At 40.7% G+C, this 20933-nt stretch overlaps 1 protein-coding gene across 6 annotated transcripts in view; it reads right to left on the bottom strand.

Moving 5' to 3' along the window:
• Positions 1 to 20933, bottom strand: part of ANTXR1 (ANTXR cell adhesion molecule 1) — a 236184-nt gene that overhangs the window by 147927 nt on the left and 67324 nt on the right. For all 6 annotated transcript variants that reach the window (NM_053034.2, NM_018153.3, XM_017005077.3 and 3 more), the window contains exon 9: positions 10482 to 10542. In NM_053034.2, the coding sequence (NP_444262.1) occupies positions 10482 to 10542 (61 nt within the window). The remainder of the gene's footprint in view (positions 1 to 10481; positions 10543 to 20933) is intronic.

The following is a 20933-nucleotide window of genomic DNA, read 5'->3' as shown; positions in this document are numbered from 1 at the left end:
AATCAGAACTGGAATCGAGGTCTGTTAGGCACCAAATGCCATGCCCTTAGAACTCAGCCATTAGCTTCTGAACCACCATGCGAAAAGGGGGACTCACTGCCTTCTGACAGATGAGTCATTTAGGAGTTGAAGTTGTGATTTTTTTTAAAGCTTATTTTATTTTAATTTTAGGCAGGTTTGCTCATTTTGCAGAAAAGTGGAACAGGCCTGGATGTGAAGCAAGAAACTGAAATTTAAGTAAAAGAATACAGAGACACTACATGTGCCACAAGGAGTATAAGTTAGAAAAGAATGCTTTTTAGAAGTATAAGAGGCCTTCACAATAAGGAAATGGAGACTGTGACATTTTGAATGACTTGCTCAGAGTCATGTCATTAGTAAAGCAGAAAAACTGGGACTCATATCCAAAAGCTAAGGTGACGGGCCTATGGTTTTTTCAGGAGCATAAGTCCTATGACTATGAAGGATTTATACATACACGTTGATGCAAATGCACAATTGCTACGTTTAGAAAGATGGGCTTAGTAGTTTTCTCTAGATGTCTGTCAGGCATCTGACAGATTCCTTGGTTGGCTCAATAAGCAATTTAGTACGTGTCAAGCACTTGTAGAAGAATCTTATCTTCTCTTATTTGCTCAGTTAAGCCTATAGAAACCTATTTCTGTGTCCATTTTGAATGCCAGACATACAGACATCTGTTGTTTGATGTTTTTGCTGATTCCAAATGTTTTCTGCCTCACTTCTGTGCCTACTTCTCTTGTTTCCTCAAAGATCAGCAGAGGAAGAGAAGACTGTGGAAATGCAGGCCACATGCCAAACTCTATTCTCTAACACCATGTTCTAACATTACCAGTTGAGTTGCTAAATCCTCTATAAAAGAGGCTGCCTGCATGTCTGCTTGGCCCCACCTCAGGGAGTTTAGGAAGAAAGACAGCAGGAATCCATGATGTGGCAATGGTGGAAACCAAACAATTTAACCCCCTAGGCCAGGGGGAGACGGTGGAGGAAATGATGCTCTGGGGAGTGCACCAGGGCAGAGGCGAGCTCCCATCCTGCCTGATAGGGTTTCTGTGTTAGTGCACACATTTGGTTACCAGAAGAGCTCAAACATCTGGCCCAGCAGCCTGACTAGAATGTCAGCTCTTCACACATAGACGTTATGTAACAAAACCCTTTCGAATGAATCTGCCAGTAAGTGAAAACCAGGACACATTAGAACCAGGACATAGTGATTTAACTCCACTAATCTACAAAGCCCTGAACCCACCTTTCAAAATATGTACAGCTGTGTTTTTAGGCAACTTGTATGTTGGCTTACAGCTCCTATAAGAAGTACCTCAAGATTGCAGGGCTTTAGGGAGGAATTTTCCACCTGAAAATGGTCTTTGATTTAATCTTTTAAGTTATCTATCCTTTAAGGTTTCCTTAAGATCTATATTCTTTTGTCACTGTTATTCCCAATTACATTGAAAGCTTCCTGATGGCAGAGGCCAAGATTTCTATTTCTTCTGAATGCTGGGTTGTGCCTTAACCCAGGACTGAGTCAGTCTCAGGATGAGCTCATTGAGTGATTGAATAAATAACATATCTTGGCATAGAAAGAGAATAAAGGGGAAGGATAGGGTGATCATTTATTCAGGTCCCAACCAGGTCTAATCCTGTTTATTTTCTGAGGCTTAATAAGGTCCATGAATGAAAAGATGTTCAACATCATTAGTCACATGGAAGTACAAACCATAACCATATGGAGATATCACTTCATACTCACTATGATTGCTGAAGAGAAAGAGATGGACAATGGCATCTGCTGGTGAAGAAATTATAACCCACATACATTTCTGGTGGAAATGTAAAATGCTGTGGCCTCTTTGAAAAATAGTTTAGCAGTTCTTCTACAAAGTTAAACACAGTTACCTTATGACCCCCAAATTCCATTCCTAGACATATACCCAAGAGAATTGAAAGTTATATCCACACAAAAACTTACATATTAACGGTCACAGTGGCATTATTAAAAGCAGCCAAAAAATGGAAATAACCTAAATGTTCATCAACTGATAAGTATGGTATTTCTATACAATGGAATATTATTGAGCCATCAAAAGAAATCAAATTCTCATACATGCTATGACATGGATGAACCTTGAAAACATTATGCTAAATAAAAGAAGCAAGACACAAAAGCCACATATTGCATGACTCCCTTTATAAGGTATGTCCAGATTCGCAGATCTACAGAGACAGAAAGTAGATTGGTGGCTGCCAGGACTGGAGGGAGGGAGAAATGGGGGAATAACTGCTTAATGGGTATAGGGTTTCTTCTTGGAGTGATGAAAATATTCTGGAATTAGATAGTTATTATAGTTGTACAACTTTGTGATACATTAAAAACCACTGAATTGTACTTTATTTATTTAGACGCAGTCTCACTCTATCACCTAGGCTGGAGTGCAGTGACGTGATCTTGGCTCACTGCAACCTCCGCCTCCTAAGTTAAAGCTATTCTCCTGCCTCAGCCTCCGGAGTAGCTGGGATTATAGGCATGTGCCAGTACACCGGGCTAATTTTTGTATTTTTAGTAGACACGGGGTTTCACCCTGTTGGCCAGGCTGGTTTCAAACTCCTGACCTCAAGTGATCCACCTGCCTCAGACTCCCAAAATGCTGGGATTACAGGTGTGAGCCACCACGCCTGGCCTGAATTGTACCTTTTAAAAGGGTGATTTTTATAGCATGTAAAATATAGCTCAATTTAAAAAAAGAAAAAATAAGGTCAGTAAGTAGTTCGATAGATTTATTCCATTCTGTTCTCTCCTTTTATTTCTTTGGTTTCCTTTTTTCTTTTTGGAAATGTGGAACACATAGCTTTGAGATGACCTCAATAAAGATTGCATGTCATTCACTGTGTCTGAAAATGAGACATCTGTATATTCTCCACTTGTTCTGGTCACCCAAGATTTTTGTGCCAAATTATTGTCAGTGATATTTCATCTTGTGAGTCAGTTTGAATTTGCTCTCCTCTTAGATGCTTAATGTGGTATGGAACATCAAAAATAAAATGTAGGGACTGACATATAATGGGTGCTTTCTGAGGCCTGAATTGTTCTAGAACTTTTTTCAGTTATAGCTTTTAATTTATAACAACTTGAGTGAGGCATAATTGATATACAATAACTTGCACATAAAGTGTATGATTTGATAAATTTTGACATATGTACACAATCATAATACCACAGTCAAGACAGTGAGCGTAGCTGTCACCCCCAGAACTTCCCTAGTGTTGCTTTGTAATCTCTCCTCCCAGCCCTCCCTACCTCCACTCCCACACAACCACTGGTCTGCTCTCTGGAACTGTATATTAGTTTGCATTTTCTGGAATTTTATGTAAATAGGATCATGCAGTAAGTAATTTTCTTGTCTGGCTTCTTTTACTCAGCATAATTATTTTAGGACACAGTCACAATTATGTTGAGATTTATACATAGTTTATTGCTTTTTATTGCTGAGTATTAATTAGTGCATTCTACAGGTAAACTGTAATTTGTTTATCCACCTACCTGTGGATGAACATTTTAGTTGTTTTTGGCTATTAAAAATGGAGCTGCTATGAACATTTGTACACAAGCCTTTCTTTGTTTGGACATAGATTTCCTTTTCTCTTAGGTAAAACCTCGGAGTGGAATGGCTGGGCCATATGGTAGGTGTATATTTAATTTTGTAAGAAACTACCAAAACTCTTCCAAAGTGTTGTGCTGTTTTGTATTTGTAAATGAGAGTCCTTCCTCCACATAGAAATGTCTTTAAATGAAAGGAAAGATTGAGCAGAGAATGAAGCAATCCATTTAGAAGAGGTGGCCAAAGGTCAGAAATGAATGCTTCGAAAAACAATGAAAAGTGAGAGGAATACACCACTATCTGATGTTGCTTGAATGTGTCTGTTTTAAACATCGAAATTTCCAAATGGTAAACATGACACCTTAAATGACCTTCCTTTTGTGCCAGCTCACCCAGTTTTATCAGAAACAGTGGGAAACACAGTAGGAATACAACTGCTGCTGAAATGACAGTGTGAGGAGCTAATTATAACTTCCTTCCAGTTCTGGAGTACAAGAACTTCAAGTGTAGAGCAGTTGGCAAGTTGCACACTTGATTCCAATTAGTTCCTTCCTGGCATCCTTGCTTACATAGCACATTGTGAACTGTGGAAGTTGGAGGCCAACTGAGTGGGACCACAGAAAGACTGTGCTCAGGCACAGGGTGCATTTTCCAGAGAGGAGCTAAATTAGACAGGGCCAAATGGGTCCATATTCTTAATTAAACAGAGGCTAATCTGCAAAAATATTTAATTAGAAACTTTAAAAAAGAGTCTATATTGGGAGCAGAATTACTGAAATACAAGTAATGTCAAAGTTGCTACAAAGGGTTTCCACATAGCAGGTGACTTCCTGCATGTTTTGGAACAGGGACTGTAAATACAGTGACATAAGCACCATGCTAAATGGCAGCCACATGCTTGGCCTGGGTACTGGGGTGACAATGGAGAGTGGTGAGGAGTATGGTGAACTGGAAAGTGTATACGTTTCTTTTAAAGGAAGTTATTCAGTCCTCAATAATCATTAACTTGTAATAAATACAGGTTCAGTGTTGTCAGTTCTGATTTTTCAAGTCAAGATGAAAATCTGTATTTTTAGGTGAAATCCGATTTTCTAAATGTTAGCAATAAATTTAAGTTAAAAAATGCAGTATGAATCAAGAAGAATATATATGCAGATCAGATAGGACTTGTAGGCTGCCAGTTTATAACCTCTGAGAGTGGAGGAGTTCTGGGAAGGTTCTCTCTCCCTATATATGTTCACCAGTGCAGTGATTGGATTCCTTCCTTCCTCTCTCCCTTCCTCCCTCCCTCCCTCCCTCCCTCTTTCTCTCTCTCTTTCTTTCTTTCCTGATGGAGTGTCACTCTGTTTACCAATGCAGTGATTGGAATTCTTTTTGATTTCCTTCCTTCCTTCCTTCCTTCCTTCCCTCCTTCCTCCCTTCCTCCCTTCCTCCCTTCCTCCCTTCCTCCCTTCCTCCCTTCCTCCCTTCCTCCCTTCCTCCCTTCCTCCCTTCCTCCCTTCCTTCCTTCCTTCCTTCCTTCCTTCCTTTTGACGGAGTCTCGCTCTGTTGCCCAGGCTGGAGTGCAGTGACATGATCTCGGCTCACTGCAAGCTCTGCCTCCCGGGTTCATGCCATTCTCCTGCCTCAGCCTCCCGAGTAGCTGGGACTACAGGAGCCCGCCACCACGCCTGGCTCATTTTTTGTATTTTTAGTAGAGACGGGGTTTCACCGTGTTAGCCAGGATGGTCTCGATCTCCTGATCTCGTGATCTGCCTGCCTTGGCCTCCCAAAGTGCTGGGATTACAGGCGTGAGCCACCGTGCCCGGCTGGAATTCTTTTTGATGGCAGCAGATTACATATTCTCTCCATTCCCTCTCCCCAGTAAGAGTTCCAGTTAAAAATGTGAAACAGTTCCAGGAATACTGGTTTCCTCAGTTATTGAGAAATAATCATCCATTAATATCTTAGTGGAAACTGAATTAAATCTTTAGAAATCTGAAGCTGTAAAGGAGACCCGGAGGAGGTTTTCTCCTGATAGCATCTGCTTACAGATGGCCATTCTGCCACTGCTCACATGATTCTATGGGGGGAGAGCTCAGACCATCCACTCCATTGTTGGAAAGCTTTAGTTGTACAAGTTGCATGTGGTAAGCCAAAATCTGCCTCACTGAATTCCTCCCCAACCCCTCCATGGTGGTCTCCTGGAGCTATACATAATAAGCCTAATAATTTCTTTCTGCATGGGAATCCTCCAAATATCTAAAGATGCTCTTGTGAGTATCTCAATTCCTGGCCTCAGTCTCTGTGATGACTTCAGTATTTCCTCATCGCACAGGCATCTCAGTAGTGCTCTCACTACTCTGTAAGCAGACTTCTGCTACAGTGCTTACTGCGTGGTTTTGTAATTTATTTGAACATATGACTATCTCCCAGAGTGAACTGTGAGTTTCATAGGGGTGTGGGTGGATTTGGGACTAAGTCTTATGCATTTTTGTGTTGATACATTTTCATGTGGGTTGGTGCATAAAAGACACTAAGAATCGATGAAAGGAGGAAGAAAGGAAAACAGGAAGAAAAAGAGGGAAAGAAGAAAGAAAAGGAAAGAAAAAAGCAAGGAAAGAAGGAAATGAAAGAAAGAATGAATCCATGAATTAATTATAATGTGATTTCCAGATCCATTACCTCTTCGCCTATGGACATGCCTTTGTCAATACCATTCTTAAAATTTGGGACTTGAAACCATGGTCTGAACATGGAATAGGACTGTTAGTTCTCCTGACCTGGACACTGGATGGTTATTGATGCACCCTAAGGTTGTGTCAGCTTTTCTTAGTCAGAGGCATTCTTGTTGGGGAGCAAGACAACTATGATCATTCTTGTCTTTTCTGCTATCTTACCGTTAATTGTTACTAAGTCAGGATTTCCTAAACCTGCCTGTATGTGAAACTGGATATTTGAACCCAAGTTCAACGCTTTATATTTGTCCCATTAAATTACACCTTGTTATGTGCAGCCCAACATATAAAGGCCTGTGCTAGATTTTGGCTTTGTTGTCATTATCTCGCTGCCTCGCCCAGAGCTCAGTTTGCTGTCAGAACCATTGCTGGTGTTGAGCTGGGGTTGAAAGCCAGCTGAGATCACTGTCTTAGAGGAATGCAATCATCAGCATAGAGTGTCTTGAGCAGGACAGACCTGGGTAGGGCTCCACAGCAGGGGCTGTTCTAGGGGCCAAGGAAAAGAAGGAATTCACAGAGTGAAGGGAAGAGGCTAAGAGGAAAGGTTTTCGATGAAGGCAAAGTTTACCTTCTTTACATATCTGTCTAGGGATTGGTCCCACCATTATATGTTAGAAATGTGAACAATCAGTTATTTCCTTTTTACTCTCTCCCCCAATACATGTTGAGTTAATTAATCATTTTGCAGATACTCTTCCCCAATTTTCTTTCAGCGGAGAAACATACAGGAATGCTTTTCTCATCTAGGTATGACATTATCAACATCATGATTCTAACACTGGCCTTTAATCCTTATTAAGATGATGCTGATAACAAGCCATCTTGTTCTGCATAACAATTTATACTTTTCAAAGCACTTTCACGTAAATACTTATATCTTTGAACTAGCTTAATGAAAGTCACAGAGGGGCTACGCCTCGCTCTATCTGACAGGCATCCGGACAATGAAATGGGCTCCCAGGCTTCCTGAAAACTATGTTTACTCCAGAGAATGGTCAACAAGAAATCTTCAAGGAAATCTATGGAAGAAATTTTGATGTAAGGATATCTTTTGGGAGTTTCATTCTCTTCTTAGAAATGTTATTCTGTAATCAGCATGTTTAAACCCTTACGACTTGAATTTGAGAGGTGGGAGCTTGCCTTTTACAAAACCTAGTTCTAGCTTTCATCATTGTGTCTTGTTTTAATTTTTTCTCTATAAGAAATAAAGATAATATGATTGGATAGTTTACTCTGATACAGATAACTGTTGTTTGCTTATAAAATATGTAATATTGCACATAAGCCAGAGATTTTAAGAAAATCTAAAGAAAGATTCCTTAGATTGGATTTACCAGATTTGTCTATTTTATTGGTTCTACCAAATAACCTTGGAATAATTTATCTGTTGAATTGCTTTAATTTGTTTAAATTTATTAGTGGATTGTGTATTTGTTTCTTGTATTTTCCTTACCTTTTCCAAAATTATCTTTTAATTCTTAATTCATTTATTTTTCTTTTTCACTTGATGAGAAACATTGAAATCTATGAATTTGATATGATCAGATCCTGTGGACACTGGTATTTCTGTGTCATTTTTGTTTTTGTGGTGTTTTTATTGTCTTGAACACCTTAATGACATATAGGGGATATTGTTTACTTTTTGAGGTTAAAATTACTTACAAAGGCAATTTTCCATTGTCTAAGTGGTGGAGATTTTTCCTTTTACTTTGGTCTTACTCTATCTTTGTCTATTAATTTTAGATTTTGCTTCATTTTAGTTGCAGTTCAAAGGTATATTAACTTCTTATGGTTGGTGAAAGGAATTAATAAGGGTCAAATAGGCAAGTATCAGTGGCATTGTTTTTTTAACGAATACATGAATCAAGACATTTAGTCAACATTTATTGGCCACCTAGTGAGTGCTGGGTACCCTGCTAGGCAGTGGGAAGTAGAGAGAAATAAGTTTCCTTCTCTGTCTTCAAGGAGCCTACAGGAAGGGAATTCATTATACTAGTGAATTAACAGAAATTGTGTTCATTGTCTTTAGACTTTCTGATTCATTCCAAGGTTGCACAACACAGCCAATTAGACTGCTAAACTCAAAGTCTGGGTTTTCTTTATGAAAGCAATAATTGCAGTCAAGGAACTCCCTTATTTTCTAATTGTTTTAAAATTACAGAACTATAAAATGTGTGTTTATAAAACAATTCACACACACTACATGAGATTTAATTAATCAAATATCCTACTCAATTCCTCTACCTGAAGCACACAAAGCCCAGAGGTGAATTTATCTTCAAGGTAAATTCATGAAGCCTAACTGAGGCTCCTCACTGCACAGGCCCCTTATGAAGCCCTGGCACTGCATTCATGTGGTCATATGTTTTTGTCAAATTTGCCTAGGTAAGATTTCTGAATTCTTAAAGAGATTCTCACCGATCTACCTCTGTGGCAATCACATTTACCCCTGCCATCTGTGTGGTCAGGTAGCAATTTATTTAAAGGTCAGTAGGTAATCTTTTGGGATTGCCTTTCTTTGGGAAATTAGCACATATTTCTGAATAGTTAGTTACCAAGTATTTTGCTAACAACTTTATGTAGGTATGCATTTATGTATGTACATATGTATTTATGTATGCATGCTGTATATTTATGTATGTACATAACTAGTTACCAAGTATTGATAACAACTTTATATCTTTACATATATACTTGATGTTTTGCTGCTGGCACCGATTTTTTAGTGCACCTAACTCCCTGAAAGTCTTTCAGTTGTTCTAAACTATAGGCCAGAAACTGGAATAAAATCCTTAAGGAGTTCCCTCATTTATACCAGTAAAATATGCCATAAACATTGATGTGTGTAGTGTTTGAAGAGGCCTGAAAGTTCTTCCTTTAATGCTTCCTACCTTATCAGGTTGTATGACATATTTTCTGTTGGTAAATTAATAACTGGCACTGTATTTTGGCAGGCTGAAAAGGTGATATCAACAATAAACTCTCAATGGTGAAAGATGCAAGTTTCTGGGGGACAGGAACTCACACACACAGTTTTTCCTTCCTTATCTCCAGCACCTAGCACAGTGCCTGGCATGCAGCAGGCACTTAAGAATACTTTTCAAATGAATGAAAGAAGAGTGATGGGGAACCTGTCAAGAATTATACGAGAAGCGCCAATGTGGTTGAAGTTTTAAGCAGTCCATTAAATATGAAACGAGCATGACCCTGATTTTGATCAGTTAGAGAAAATCTTGTGACTCGAAGAAGGCTAATTCTTTACATAGAGACTTCCTTATTAATGACAAAACTATATGGCCCTCTACAGGGACAACCAGAGCCGTCCACTACCATTGTGTGAGGACTGGCAGATTAAACAATTAAGATAAATATATTAACTGTGTGAAAAGGCCAGCATCCAACTAAAAACTTTAGTATAGCAGTATTTCCAGTATGGCCTATGACCACTATGATTGTCTGGTATCTGCAGGGCCTCATGAAAAAGAGGGGTGATTCCATTTCTATCCAGAGGTAGGGTGTTGGTAGTCACTGAGTATTCAGTATAAGAATCCAGTATTTCTACAATTCCCTTCTAATTAGGTCCCATGAAAGAAGATAACTTTTTTTTTTTTTTTTTTTTTTTTTGAGATGGTGTCTTGCTCTGTCACCCAGGCTGGAGTGCAGTGGTGCGATCTCGGCTCACTGCAACCCAACCTCTGCCTCCCGGGTTCAAGAGATTCTCCTTCCTCAGCCTCCCGAGTAGCTGGGATTATAGGCAAGCGCCATCACACCTGGCTAATTTTTTGTATTTTTAGTAGAGATGGGGTTTAACCATGTTGGCCAGGCTGGTCTCAAACTCCTTACCTCAAGGGCTCTGCCTGCCTTGGCCTCCCAAAGTGCTTGGATTACAGGCATAAGGCGCCGCGCCCAGTGAAAGAAGAGAATTTGGACAGATTTTTTTTTTTTTTTTTTAACTTCCAAACAACTGACATGTGGCTTCTTTCTTTCCTTTTCTCCTTGGAGCAAATTTGGTTAGCAATTTCAGCTCCTCTTTTCACCCTACCCCTTCCTGTTCCTCTTTCCCACCCCACCAACAATGAAGTACATACGTGACTTGAACTCAAAATATCATCAATTGTATGAAAGCAATTAGCATTTCATTTCAATTTACCTCCTGCACATATGGTGGATGGTTCAGCTGCTAGAATTTCGATGCAGGACTTCTTCAAAATCTAGGAGGAGCGGAAATAAAAGAGTCAATGCACAGCTTATTTTGTTCAAAGACAGAATCAGGGTTCTGCTTTTAGCTACTGAGATAGAGATAGGAAGGTTCAAGGACATTTGGTTGCGGTGGGGGTGCGAGGAGTCTAACATCTTGACTAGTACCAATACCAAACATTTATTAAGCCAGATTGTGCTAGATGCTGTTGGGTATCCTAAAAGCCCTAAGAATTATTCATTCATTTGCTCTTTTGGCAGGTATTTACTGAGCCTATGCTATGCCAGTCCTAGTTTTTGCAGAGGTTTAACATAGGGTTGCGGAAATGGGACTTAACTCTGGAAATGATAAATGCCAATGGCCACTCCTATTGGTAGGTGCAAGGGTGAAAGAGTAGACAGTAGGAGCTGCAGAGTTCATGGAGGAGATGCTGGGGCAGGTATGCTAGGAAAGGCTTCATGGAAGAGCTGGGAGCTGAGGGTGGGACTCAAATGAAAGGGAGTGGGTTAGGGGAGGATTAGGGTCCAGGCAGGGAATGGTATGAGCAAAGGTGAGAAGGAAAAAGTACATAGATTTCTTGAACTGGAACAAAGGCAGCTTGAAAAGCAGAAATAAGAGAGTGATACTAGATAGAGCTGGAGAGATAGGACGGAAATGGTCAACTCTCCACAGAAGCTGCATAGTCAGATGACCAAGAGTTCCTTTTTTGCTTGGAAAGTCTGGAAAATGTGAGCTTCAAAGGGGGCATTTGTGCCTCACTCTTCAGGAAGACCTCCTGAGACTTAGTTAAATGGAAATGTACACTTGTCCACAAATGAGTCTTATAGGGTTGAGTGGAGAGTCAGCAGAGCACTGTGACTTCACAGGAGTTAATAATGAAGACTTTTGCTGGCTAGAGTGGGGTTTCTCACTGGTAGCACCTAAGTTTCTCTCCACCATTTATAAATCCTACCTTGAGAATATTGATTCTAGAATTTGAATCAAGTATTTTTAACAAGTATAAGACATTGAGTTAATTTACCAACCAAATGCAGTATCTTTACTTAATTTGGAATTTGAGATGGTTTAGAGGGCTGAAGGAAACCCTTTCTCTATTCTTGAAAAGGGCATTTGTTAAAACAACTGACGATATGATTATAAAATTTAAAGTCTGTGAAAGAAGAAAGCATCTTTTAGCATTGGGAAACGCCCATTTATTTGCATCGTTGTATTTCTTTACATATGCTTCTTTGTTACAGCTTAAGTGATATATCACAAGACACAAATGAAAGAGAATAAATGAAAATGTGGGGCTGACTAAAGGGAAAATAAAGGGAAGATGACGCAAGAAGTGAGAATAGCATAGAAAAAATATGCTGAGGAGCTTATTTCCTTGCTAGAGTGGACTTAGTTCCAAGCTTTCTAGTAGCAAACGAAAAGGACAGCCAATATTTATGAGCTTTCTCAATCTGTGGAATGAAAACAAATCAGTTTCTCAGAAGAGGTAATATTTACCCATTCCAGAGAGAAATCTGGGCATCCTTATAGAGAAGCATTGCGAAAGAAAATGAACAAACATGCTTAAGAAAATATTAAGATGCATTCATTGAAATAGGTTATCTCCCAACCATGTATTTTAGGTAACTCTATGTACCTGAATGTCACCAAAAGCAACATTTCTTCTTGACAATTCTAAAATTCAGATTTTCTGACTACTTTTCCTTCACTCTGTAGAACTTCATGGCATTTTTATACTTTGATTCCCCTATTTGTTTGCAGCATCCTTCTGACTCCGCAGTTGGAAGTAATTAGTTCCTTCAGCTTCTGCCTCATTTCCTCAGCCTCTGGCTTACCTAGCCACCTCCACCCACCCCAGACACAGGTGCAGCCTCAGTTCCTCCCTGGTCCCTAAGTCTATCCTGACTGTAGCATGAAGGGAATGCTCCGGACTCCCATGTCCCTTGCCCATCTCTGTTAGAGTCAGCGGTCCTCACACACCTGCTCTGGGCACCTGGGGAAAACACTGAGCTCCTGTTTTCCACTCATTGTCAGTCTAACTTGGGAACAAGGACCCCAAGGATATATCCTGGGCACCTGTGTTTCCCTGCTGGCTTCCCCAGTGCCTTATGGTTGATCTAGTCTTTTCGGTCTCTTGCGCATATAGCACCGTATTAGGACTGGGACTTGCTAGCATCCTGGTGCACAGTGATTCATCCCAGACAGCCCTGCCTGAATTGTGAAGATTGTCCATTTGCCAATCCCTGAACTTGCTGCTCTTGGGCTCTTCCTGTTTGATGGGGTACTTCAGCCAGTGGTTGCCATGACCAAGGGAGGAAGCCACCCCCTTTGACTTGTCCTCAGGCACAAGTCTCCAGACAGCCCACATTTGAGAAATAGAGGTAGCCCAGAGGGAGAAACTTATTAAACAGTGATATTAGAACAACACAAAGCTGTTTTTTGATGTTTTAAATAAAATTCCTCAGGCATTTGACATCTCCTAATAAATCATTTTATCATCCAAAACTAAAGACTTCAAAACAGTCCAAGAATTTAAAAAGAGCTTTTGGACTAGTCCTGTTCCCATTCCCCAAACACACACATGAAATTTTTACCCAACCCGAGTTTCAACCAACCTTTTTGAACCAACTCTGATCCTTAACCAGGGATTGGTAAAGGAACCATCCGTGGATCTTTAACCACAAAGGCACACTAACAGGGGTTGTCATAATAAACACATGCTGTATTATTCTCTCAAAGTGTCTGCAATTAGCTGATAAATCTAAGGGGTGTATGGAGGGCCAAAAAATGCCAGCCAAGCACTGTGATTCAATCCAGTAAAAACACAGCTTTCCCAATCTTAACTTAAAACATCTGGAAGGATGCAATACAGCCAATAGAGTAAAATTTATCAGTGAGGGGGATGGGCAGGATTTGTCTGGGACTGGGGCTCCTACTCATTTGAAATGTCTGGTTTCAAAAGGTAGGAAGTCACAATGGCAGTTGGTGGATTTGAAGGGTTCTCGTGGTTCTTAGCAGCCAAGACTGTATGGTAATCAGCCTGTCTGAACTGTAGCAGACAGCAGATCAGCTCAGGGACTGGAGACTGTGTGGGGGTAGGGAGGCCCGGGCAGTGGTAGCCATGGCAGAGGTGTAGACACAGCACTGGGGAATCGCTGATGGGAAATCACTAGATGCAGTGGAAGAGACTTACACAGGGTAAGGCTGATGTTAGAGGTAAGAGGCTTTAAGGTGAGGGTATGATTGATCTGCAGAGGAGAGAGGGATAAGATAACTGCATGCCTCAAGTATAATCCCATGTGAAGAGTTGGGTCTTGGCCCTGGTCCGTATTTACCTGACCTATGCTCCTTTACAAATCCCTTAACTTTTCTGAACCCCAATTTTGGAAAGCAGTTCAGTATCCTGAGTAATTGCTTGGAATCTGGAATCAAATAGCTGAGGTCAACTCACTCATGAGCAGTGTGACCTTGGGCAGGTTCCATAACCTCTCTGAGTCCCTGTTTCCTCTCTATAAAAGTGGGATAACAATAGTATCTACCTGAAGTACGAGCATAAAGTTGTTGTGTGGGAAGATTAAATGAGATCACACAGGCAGAGCCCATAGCACAGTGCCTAAAACCTGATAAGTAATCAACTAATGGTAGCTATTACTATCAAGAACTTAAGCTCTGGAGACTGAGAAGATAGACTTGGACTCTGAATGGGTTTATATTCAAATCCAAGTCCCATCACTTACTGGCCATGTGGACTCGGACAAGTTATTAAACCTCCAAATCTCAGTTTCCTCTGCTGTAAAATGGGATAAGAAAAACACCAACTTCAAGGGGCTGTATGATGGTTAAATAAAATAACAGTCATGAACGCAGAGATATTTTGTTTGGAAAATCAATCAGATTTAGGTAATAAAATTCATATTGGATTGGACGGTGAGGGAGAGCATGAGATCAAGGAAAACTGACAAGGTTTTTGTCTTATAGACAGAACTAGACAGATGTGATCGATCCACAGAAAGTTAATAACCCTTGGGTCACCAGCCAGCATGAGCACCTTATGAAAATAAGGCACCAAGAAGAGTGGTCAAAATGACCTTGGCAGTAAAGCACTTAAGAGAATGTCTGGCATGTATTCAAACAACAGTGGCTGTTAGCTCTTCCTTTGTCATTACTATTGCTACTGCTGCTACTTTTGGGCGTGGACCGTGGTTCACATGTGCTTACGCCCCATCGCCCACCCCTGGCCTTCTGCTTAATCATATTTGCTGACAAAAGCTGAACCAAGGTTAATGCTATTTTCCTGCCAACTTTTGGACAGATTTCAAAGAGAAAATAGATGGAAAAGTATGTTTGAAATCCATAAAGAGCTAAATAATTGTCATGTGTTGTTTCTGGTAAGTTGACTTTTGTACATCTCATTGGATTATTGGTGGGAGGACGAGTAAGAGAGGCAGCGGATGTACAAGAACTTTGCCAAGTTACAGGAGCTGTTTGATATATTTAAAGTGAAATCCACTGTGGACCAGTCCGGGTTGTATAGAAGAGTTTATTTTTTCAAATTCTAAAAATCTAATGTCCTTTGTCATGAAGTTCTCAGTTTATGCAGAGATTTCTCAAGAATCTTTACAGAACTGTGAATATCTGCACAGAGTTATAAGGAATCCCTCCCTTATCATAGGCACGGCATTTCTTTTTTCTACTTGCTCTGCTTCTTGCTTTAATAAACAACCAATCTTTATTTACTTGGCCATTTCCTGTTGGAGAACTTTTTTGTGTGTTTATAATGGACCAATCTCTTTTATCCCTTGATGGTATAGGTGTCTTTTGCTTTCACACATATTTCAGAAAGTCTTTCAGAGCATGTTCCTTGGTGTCTTATTTGTTGTAAAGGGCAAATTCTGGTTTAAAGATGTATGGGGTTTGAAGTATGCTGGTGTCAAGGATGGTTAAGTATCTACCGACCATTTACATCTGTTCAGTTGTCTAAGACAAAAACCTGAACGTTTAAGTTAGCCTTGCTCTCTCTGTCACTCTCCAAATCCAATATGAGTTCTGCCACCTAAGTGCTGGTGATTTGACCAATGAAATATCTCTATATCCATGCACATTTTAATGTAAACTGCCATCCTTTAGATAACTTATCCTAGTTTATAATTTACAGTGTTTTTTTTTTATTGTTTGGTCACTGTCTTCTTAGATTATAAACTCTACAAGGAGAAGGACTGGGTTTGTTTTTACTTATTATATTCACAATGACTAGCCTGGCACATAGTAGGCATTAAATAAATATTGGATAAATAAATGAATAAATGACACACTTCCTGCACGTCTTAATAAACTGGCATTGTAGCATATTATGTATTAATCTCCCTTTCCCCCTATAAGTGTAACCTCAGGGTCTTCTGAATACAAGTCCATATGCTGCATCTTGTAATACTCCCCTCGTCTGATTAAGTACCACCATCTTTGGGGACTTGCTGCCTTCCCAAGAGGCCAATTTCAACACCTCATTTTTAAAAAATTGCTTACCTTAAAAAAAAATGTTGTAGGCATATCATAATCCCCTGTATTAGGTCGGCCGCTTTGTAAAGGCCTCAACCCCTTTTCTTGGGAAAAACATAGAGAACTGTAGTTGGCAGGTGGGGCCCAGCCTCCCACAGAAGCGCCACAAACATTATTACAGCTGATGGCAGAAAGCACATTGGATAAGCCTGGGGATAGCCAGGCAGCTTGGGACACACAACTGGCTCAAACACATCTTCAGGACTGTCAATGTTGTCCCCATGAATTTTGAAATGATTTAATCTCTAATTAATAAAATGTTTAAAAAGTTGCCCCGTCTCTACTAAAAATACAAAAAATTAGCCAGGTGTGGTGGCAGGCGCCTGTAGTCCCAGCTACTCGGGAGGCTGGGGCAGGAGAATGGTGTGAACCTGGGAGGCAGAGCTTGCAGTGAGCCGAGATAGCGCCACTGCACTCCAGCCTGGGCAACAGAGCGAGACTCTGCCTCAAAAAAAAAAAAAAAAAAAAAAGTTGCCTTTTCTAACTAAATTCTCCACACTTTAATAGGCACACATATTGTTAACCATGGACATTACCCCAGATCCATGTCAGTTCTATAGAATCTGACTTTAAATAAAAATGGAATATGGCCACGTGCAGTGGCTCATGCCTGTAAGTCCAGCATTTTGGGAGGTGAAGGTGAGAGAATTGCTTGGGGCCAGGAGTTTGAGACCAGCCTGGGCAACATAGCAAGACCCCATCTCTAAAAAAAAAAAAAAAAAAAAAACTTTACAAATACAAATATGGAATATTATACACACGTATTTCTGGGATTCATATATGATTTTATGTACACTAATACACTATACCAAATACATTATACCACGCTTACATGCAACAAAACACATTTTGAAGCAGTTTGTGTATCTTAAACAATAAAGCTTATTCTTAAAACATGCCAAAGTTTTTGTCTGAGGGAGGGCACCCCACTCACTTAAATAGATGCTACTCTGTTAGTTTCACACTCAATGAGAATCCGATCCAAAGGAGTGTAGGATAAACAAGGTTCTAAAAGTAGGAAATTCATTTGTTTCCCCACTAAACCACTTTCTTCTCATGTCTGCAGGAGAAAAGCTCAGAGAGCTGGGAACTTCAAAATGTGGTTTATTTAGTAAGATGAGCAGACTGGAAAAGTGAGTGGCCTTTCTTGGGAGCTGATTTCGTTCTAAAATTCTGCTGTTGCTTTTATAGTGGGTCTCAGCAGATTCCTCAATATAGGAGGAGGGGCTGCAGGAAGAATAGGAATGATCTGAGGATTAACTGAACATGCCCCTCTGCAATCTTTGTAGCCTGTTCAAGCTCTGGGAATTCTTGTTCAATTTGGACTTTTTAATAAGCTGAATAGAAATAATAGTGTAGGAGAAATGCCTGGTCTGAGTGTCTGCAAAATCTGAGTCTAATTAATGACTGCTGAGGCAAAAGATTTTTTTGAAAAAAGATTCTCTGCCCACTACAGAAATTACAATTGATTCTATTTATGTTTCGTATCCAAGCCTGCTAATGTGAATGGTGCCCAGAATGCCATGTTTTACAGATGCAATCTTGGAAGAGAGGGGAGGGGAGAGGCTGAGGGGATTTTACAAGAAACGGAGCCACAGACTGCCCTCTTGTTGTGCAGTGTAGGTCTTCCCTGGGTCACAAAAGCTCTATGGTACTCTGGGTTGCTTTATAATTAATAAATATGCAAAGCACAGGGCTGCATATCATGGGAAATATGACACATAGGGCAGTCTTTGGGATTGCACAACTTAGCATGTGACCAGGAGGAATGGCAGAGGCATGGAACAGATCCACATGCCAAGCAAGAGCTTCAAAAAATTGGTGCCACTGGAGTCCAAGGCAGGGAGAGCTCATGGAAGAGGAGAGAGCAGGGCAGGCTTTGTAGAGATGGGAAGACTGAAGGGTGCCTTTGGACAGGATTCAGATGGGGCGAAGGAAGGGAAGGAGGTTGCCTCCAGTGACCAACAAGCCTGATTTATGAGAAGAGCTGCTGCTGCTGAAATGTGCCTCCCCATCTGCTAGCCCTGGAAAAGGGATTAGTTCAATAAGGCAGACACTTTCCAGGACTTTGGGAATGTGACATGAATTCTGATCACAGGAAAACCCTTTGCAGTTCCTGTTGGGGTCTTGGAAGAGTAGCTGGGAGGCAAGCCTGGAAGACAGATTTCACCTTTTATCACAGCTTTGTTAGGGCCTGGGCCAGATTAGGGGATTACATTGCTTCCCATGAGTGGAAGGGACAAATCAGCACAGGATCTGGTTTTCATAAATAAAATAAATTTATATATACCATGGAATAGATTGATTCCTCGGTTCCGTTGATCTCACAGTTTCCCTGATAACAAGGATGGTCATGCCACAGCTTGCGAGAAATCCTTGCAAACATAGTTGTGTTTGCTCAATGCTTGTTGTTTATTGTTGATCAAACATGCAGAAAGCTCTATGTGCTGACTCACTCTCCTTAACAGGAAGCCTGATGTCGGCTTAAATATTTATTCGAGGGAAATTCTCCTAGATGGAGATGGCTTGGTGCCAGCAGCTGTGGGCTCTCCTTTTCAGACAGTGTCCTTGGTTTCAGGCACCACCCTCAGTTGCACACCAAGTGGGGATAGCTGGGAGGAGGAGCTGGCATCACGGTAACCAGGCCGAGTGTTGGGATTCAAAGCTGCTGACCCATCTCGGTGTTATCTGAACCCAGCTTTTATGCGGGTTCCTGTTTCACTGCCTGAAACACTTTTGAAAAGGCAAGCAAAGACCCAGGAGCCTTGCTGGACCTTTGCTTCATACTTTTGCTCGAGGGCTGGTGCTAAATTCACCAGTTGTGGTCGGTGGAAATTCCCTGAAGAAGCCACAATATGAGAAGGCACAGGAATAGTTTCTTCCTTTACAGTGTTACTGGCTTCAAGGGCTACAATCTTCCAGCCATCCAGACTTCTTCTTGTAATTTTATCACCATATTCTGCAGAAGCGAGTGGGAAAACTGTCGTGGTGCTCAGAGGTAGAGTCCTGTGCAAGTGTGGAAGGGGAGATGTTCCTTGCAGCCTGTGTCAATTCTCCAGCTTCTCAGGACGATGGTACTTCATCCGTTGGGCAGTAATGATTTCTGGAGGTGGTCTCTACCTGGTAGTAAGAGGCAAAGTGCTCCCCTGCCCATCCACGGTGTATTCAGATCAGGCCACATGGATTCTGGTCTTGCCTCTGTCAAGCCAGTTCACGTTTTCAGTCCTCAGTGTCTTCCTCTCTGAAATGGAGCTACTTCCTGGCCTGCCTGCATTGTTTAGTAGAACACAGTGGGCATTCACATCGTGGGCATTAGAAAGACTTGAGTCTATTCGGGATCACTACTCACTGTGCTGTGTGGCCTTGGACAAGTTGGTGAATCTCTCTGAACTTTTAGTATCTACTTCTATAAAAGGGGTAATGATTTCTACATCAAATGGCACCTGTGAGGATTCAAGGAGATGATTATGTGAAATGATTTGCACAGTACCTGGCACATAGTACGAACTCACTGAATGGTGGTTTTGATTATTTTTAGCTTCCTAAGAAAATAGAGGTAGGAAAAATCATGGGCTCTAGAGTCAAGGAAAAAGTGGGTTCTAACCCTGCTTTCCCCCTTAGGGCTGTGTGGTCTTGGGCAGGTTATCTGAGCTTCAGTTTCTTCATCTGTAACATTGGAATAGGAATATTTATTTTGCAGCATTGTTATGATTTTTAAATGAAATAATATTATATGGGAAAAAGGGATAATGTCTGGTTCCAAAGTAAGTTCTCTACAGCTGTTAATTTCCTTCTGCCCTTTTCCTATCCCTCTCAGTTAAGAAACTAAAATGGAAAACAAGTGGGAACATTTTGAAAAAATCTGACACATAAGTACTTCCTCTTGAAGGAGAGAGGATTGAAGAACAGTGGAAAGATCAAAACATGAGCATCAGATTGAGGAAGCAGAGCATCTGGGGATTTGATGAATCCAAGCCCTGGGCAACTGGCTTCTGGTAATCCAGTGGTGATTTTCCATTTCCTCAGACATTTATGGCCAAATGTCATGAAAAGAGCAGAATCTTTGGAACCAGAGCTGAGTTCAAATTCCCCACTCCACCATTATAAGAGGGCAGACCTGAGGGCAGTTTCTCCAACCTTCTTGCACCTCAGTTTCCTCATCTATAAAATGGGGATAATAAATCCTTCTTCAGAGAGTGGTGGTTAAGTGCCTGGCAGAGGCGCTAATAGAGAGAACGTGTTCAAGTCATAGTGAGTTTTCTTCTTCAAAGGCCGAAATGCTATTGATTCTGAGTGCCATGATGTCTAGATTTCCTGAGTCTTGATTTCAAGCCTGATTGCTCTATTGTCAGACTCTGTACCTAGCTATAGTTTCCTATTGTCCTTGGATTTAGCTTCTGCCTGCTTCTTCATGTCATCTTCTGCCTTTCTTCACTTTAAGCATTGGTCTTTCATTCTCCTATGCACTGTACTGGGCCGTGCTCTGCCAAGAACATTCTATCCATGCCCTTCCAATGGATGGCTCCATTACGTCCTTCAGTTCATCTCTTCAAAGGAACCTGGGTTCTTTGTCAACCCTTTTACTCTTAATCTCATGGCCATGTTATTTCTTTTATTCCTGTTATCACAATTTTAATTCCACATGATTATTTATTTACTTGTTTTTAATGTGTCTCTCCCACTGGATTGTAAGCTCTACCAGGACAGAGCCTCTACCTGCTTTAGTTGTTACTGAATGGTCAGAGCCTGCCATAAAAGATTTTCAATAAGTATTTGATGTATGAATAAATACTAGCCCCTGCATATTAATTTAAGGTTTAAAAATATGAGCATTATGGGCAGAAAACTTTG

The sequence above is a fragment of the Homo sapiens genome, chromosome 2 (assembly GCF_000001405.40).
Source record: "Homo sapiens chromosome 2, GRCh38.p14 Primary Assembly".
Taxonomy (NCBI): domain Eukaryota; kingdom Metazoa; phylum Chordata; class Mammalia; order Primates; family Hominidae; genus Homo; species Homo sapiens.
This window is presented reverse-complemented; position numbering and strand designations above follow the sequence as displayed.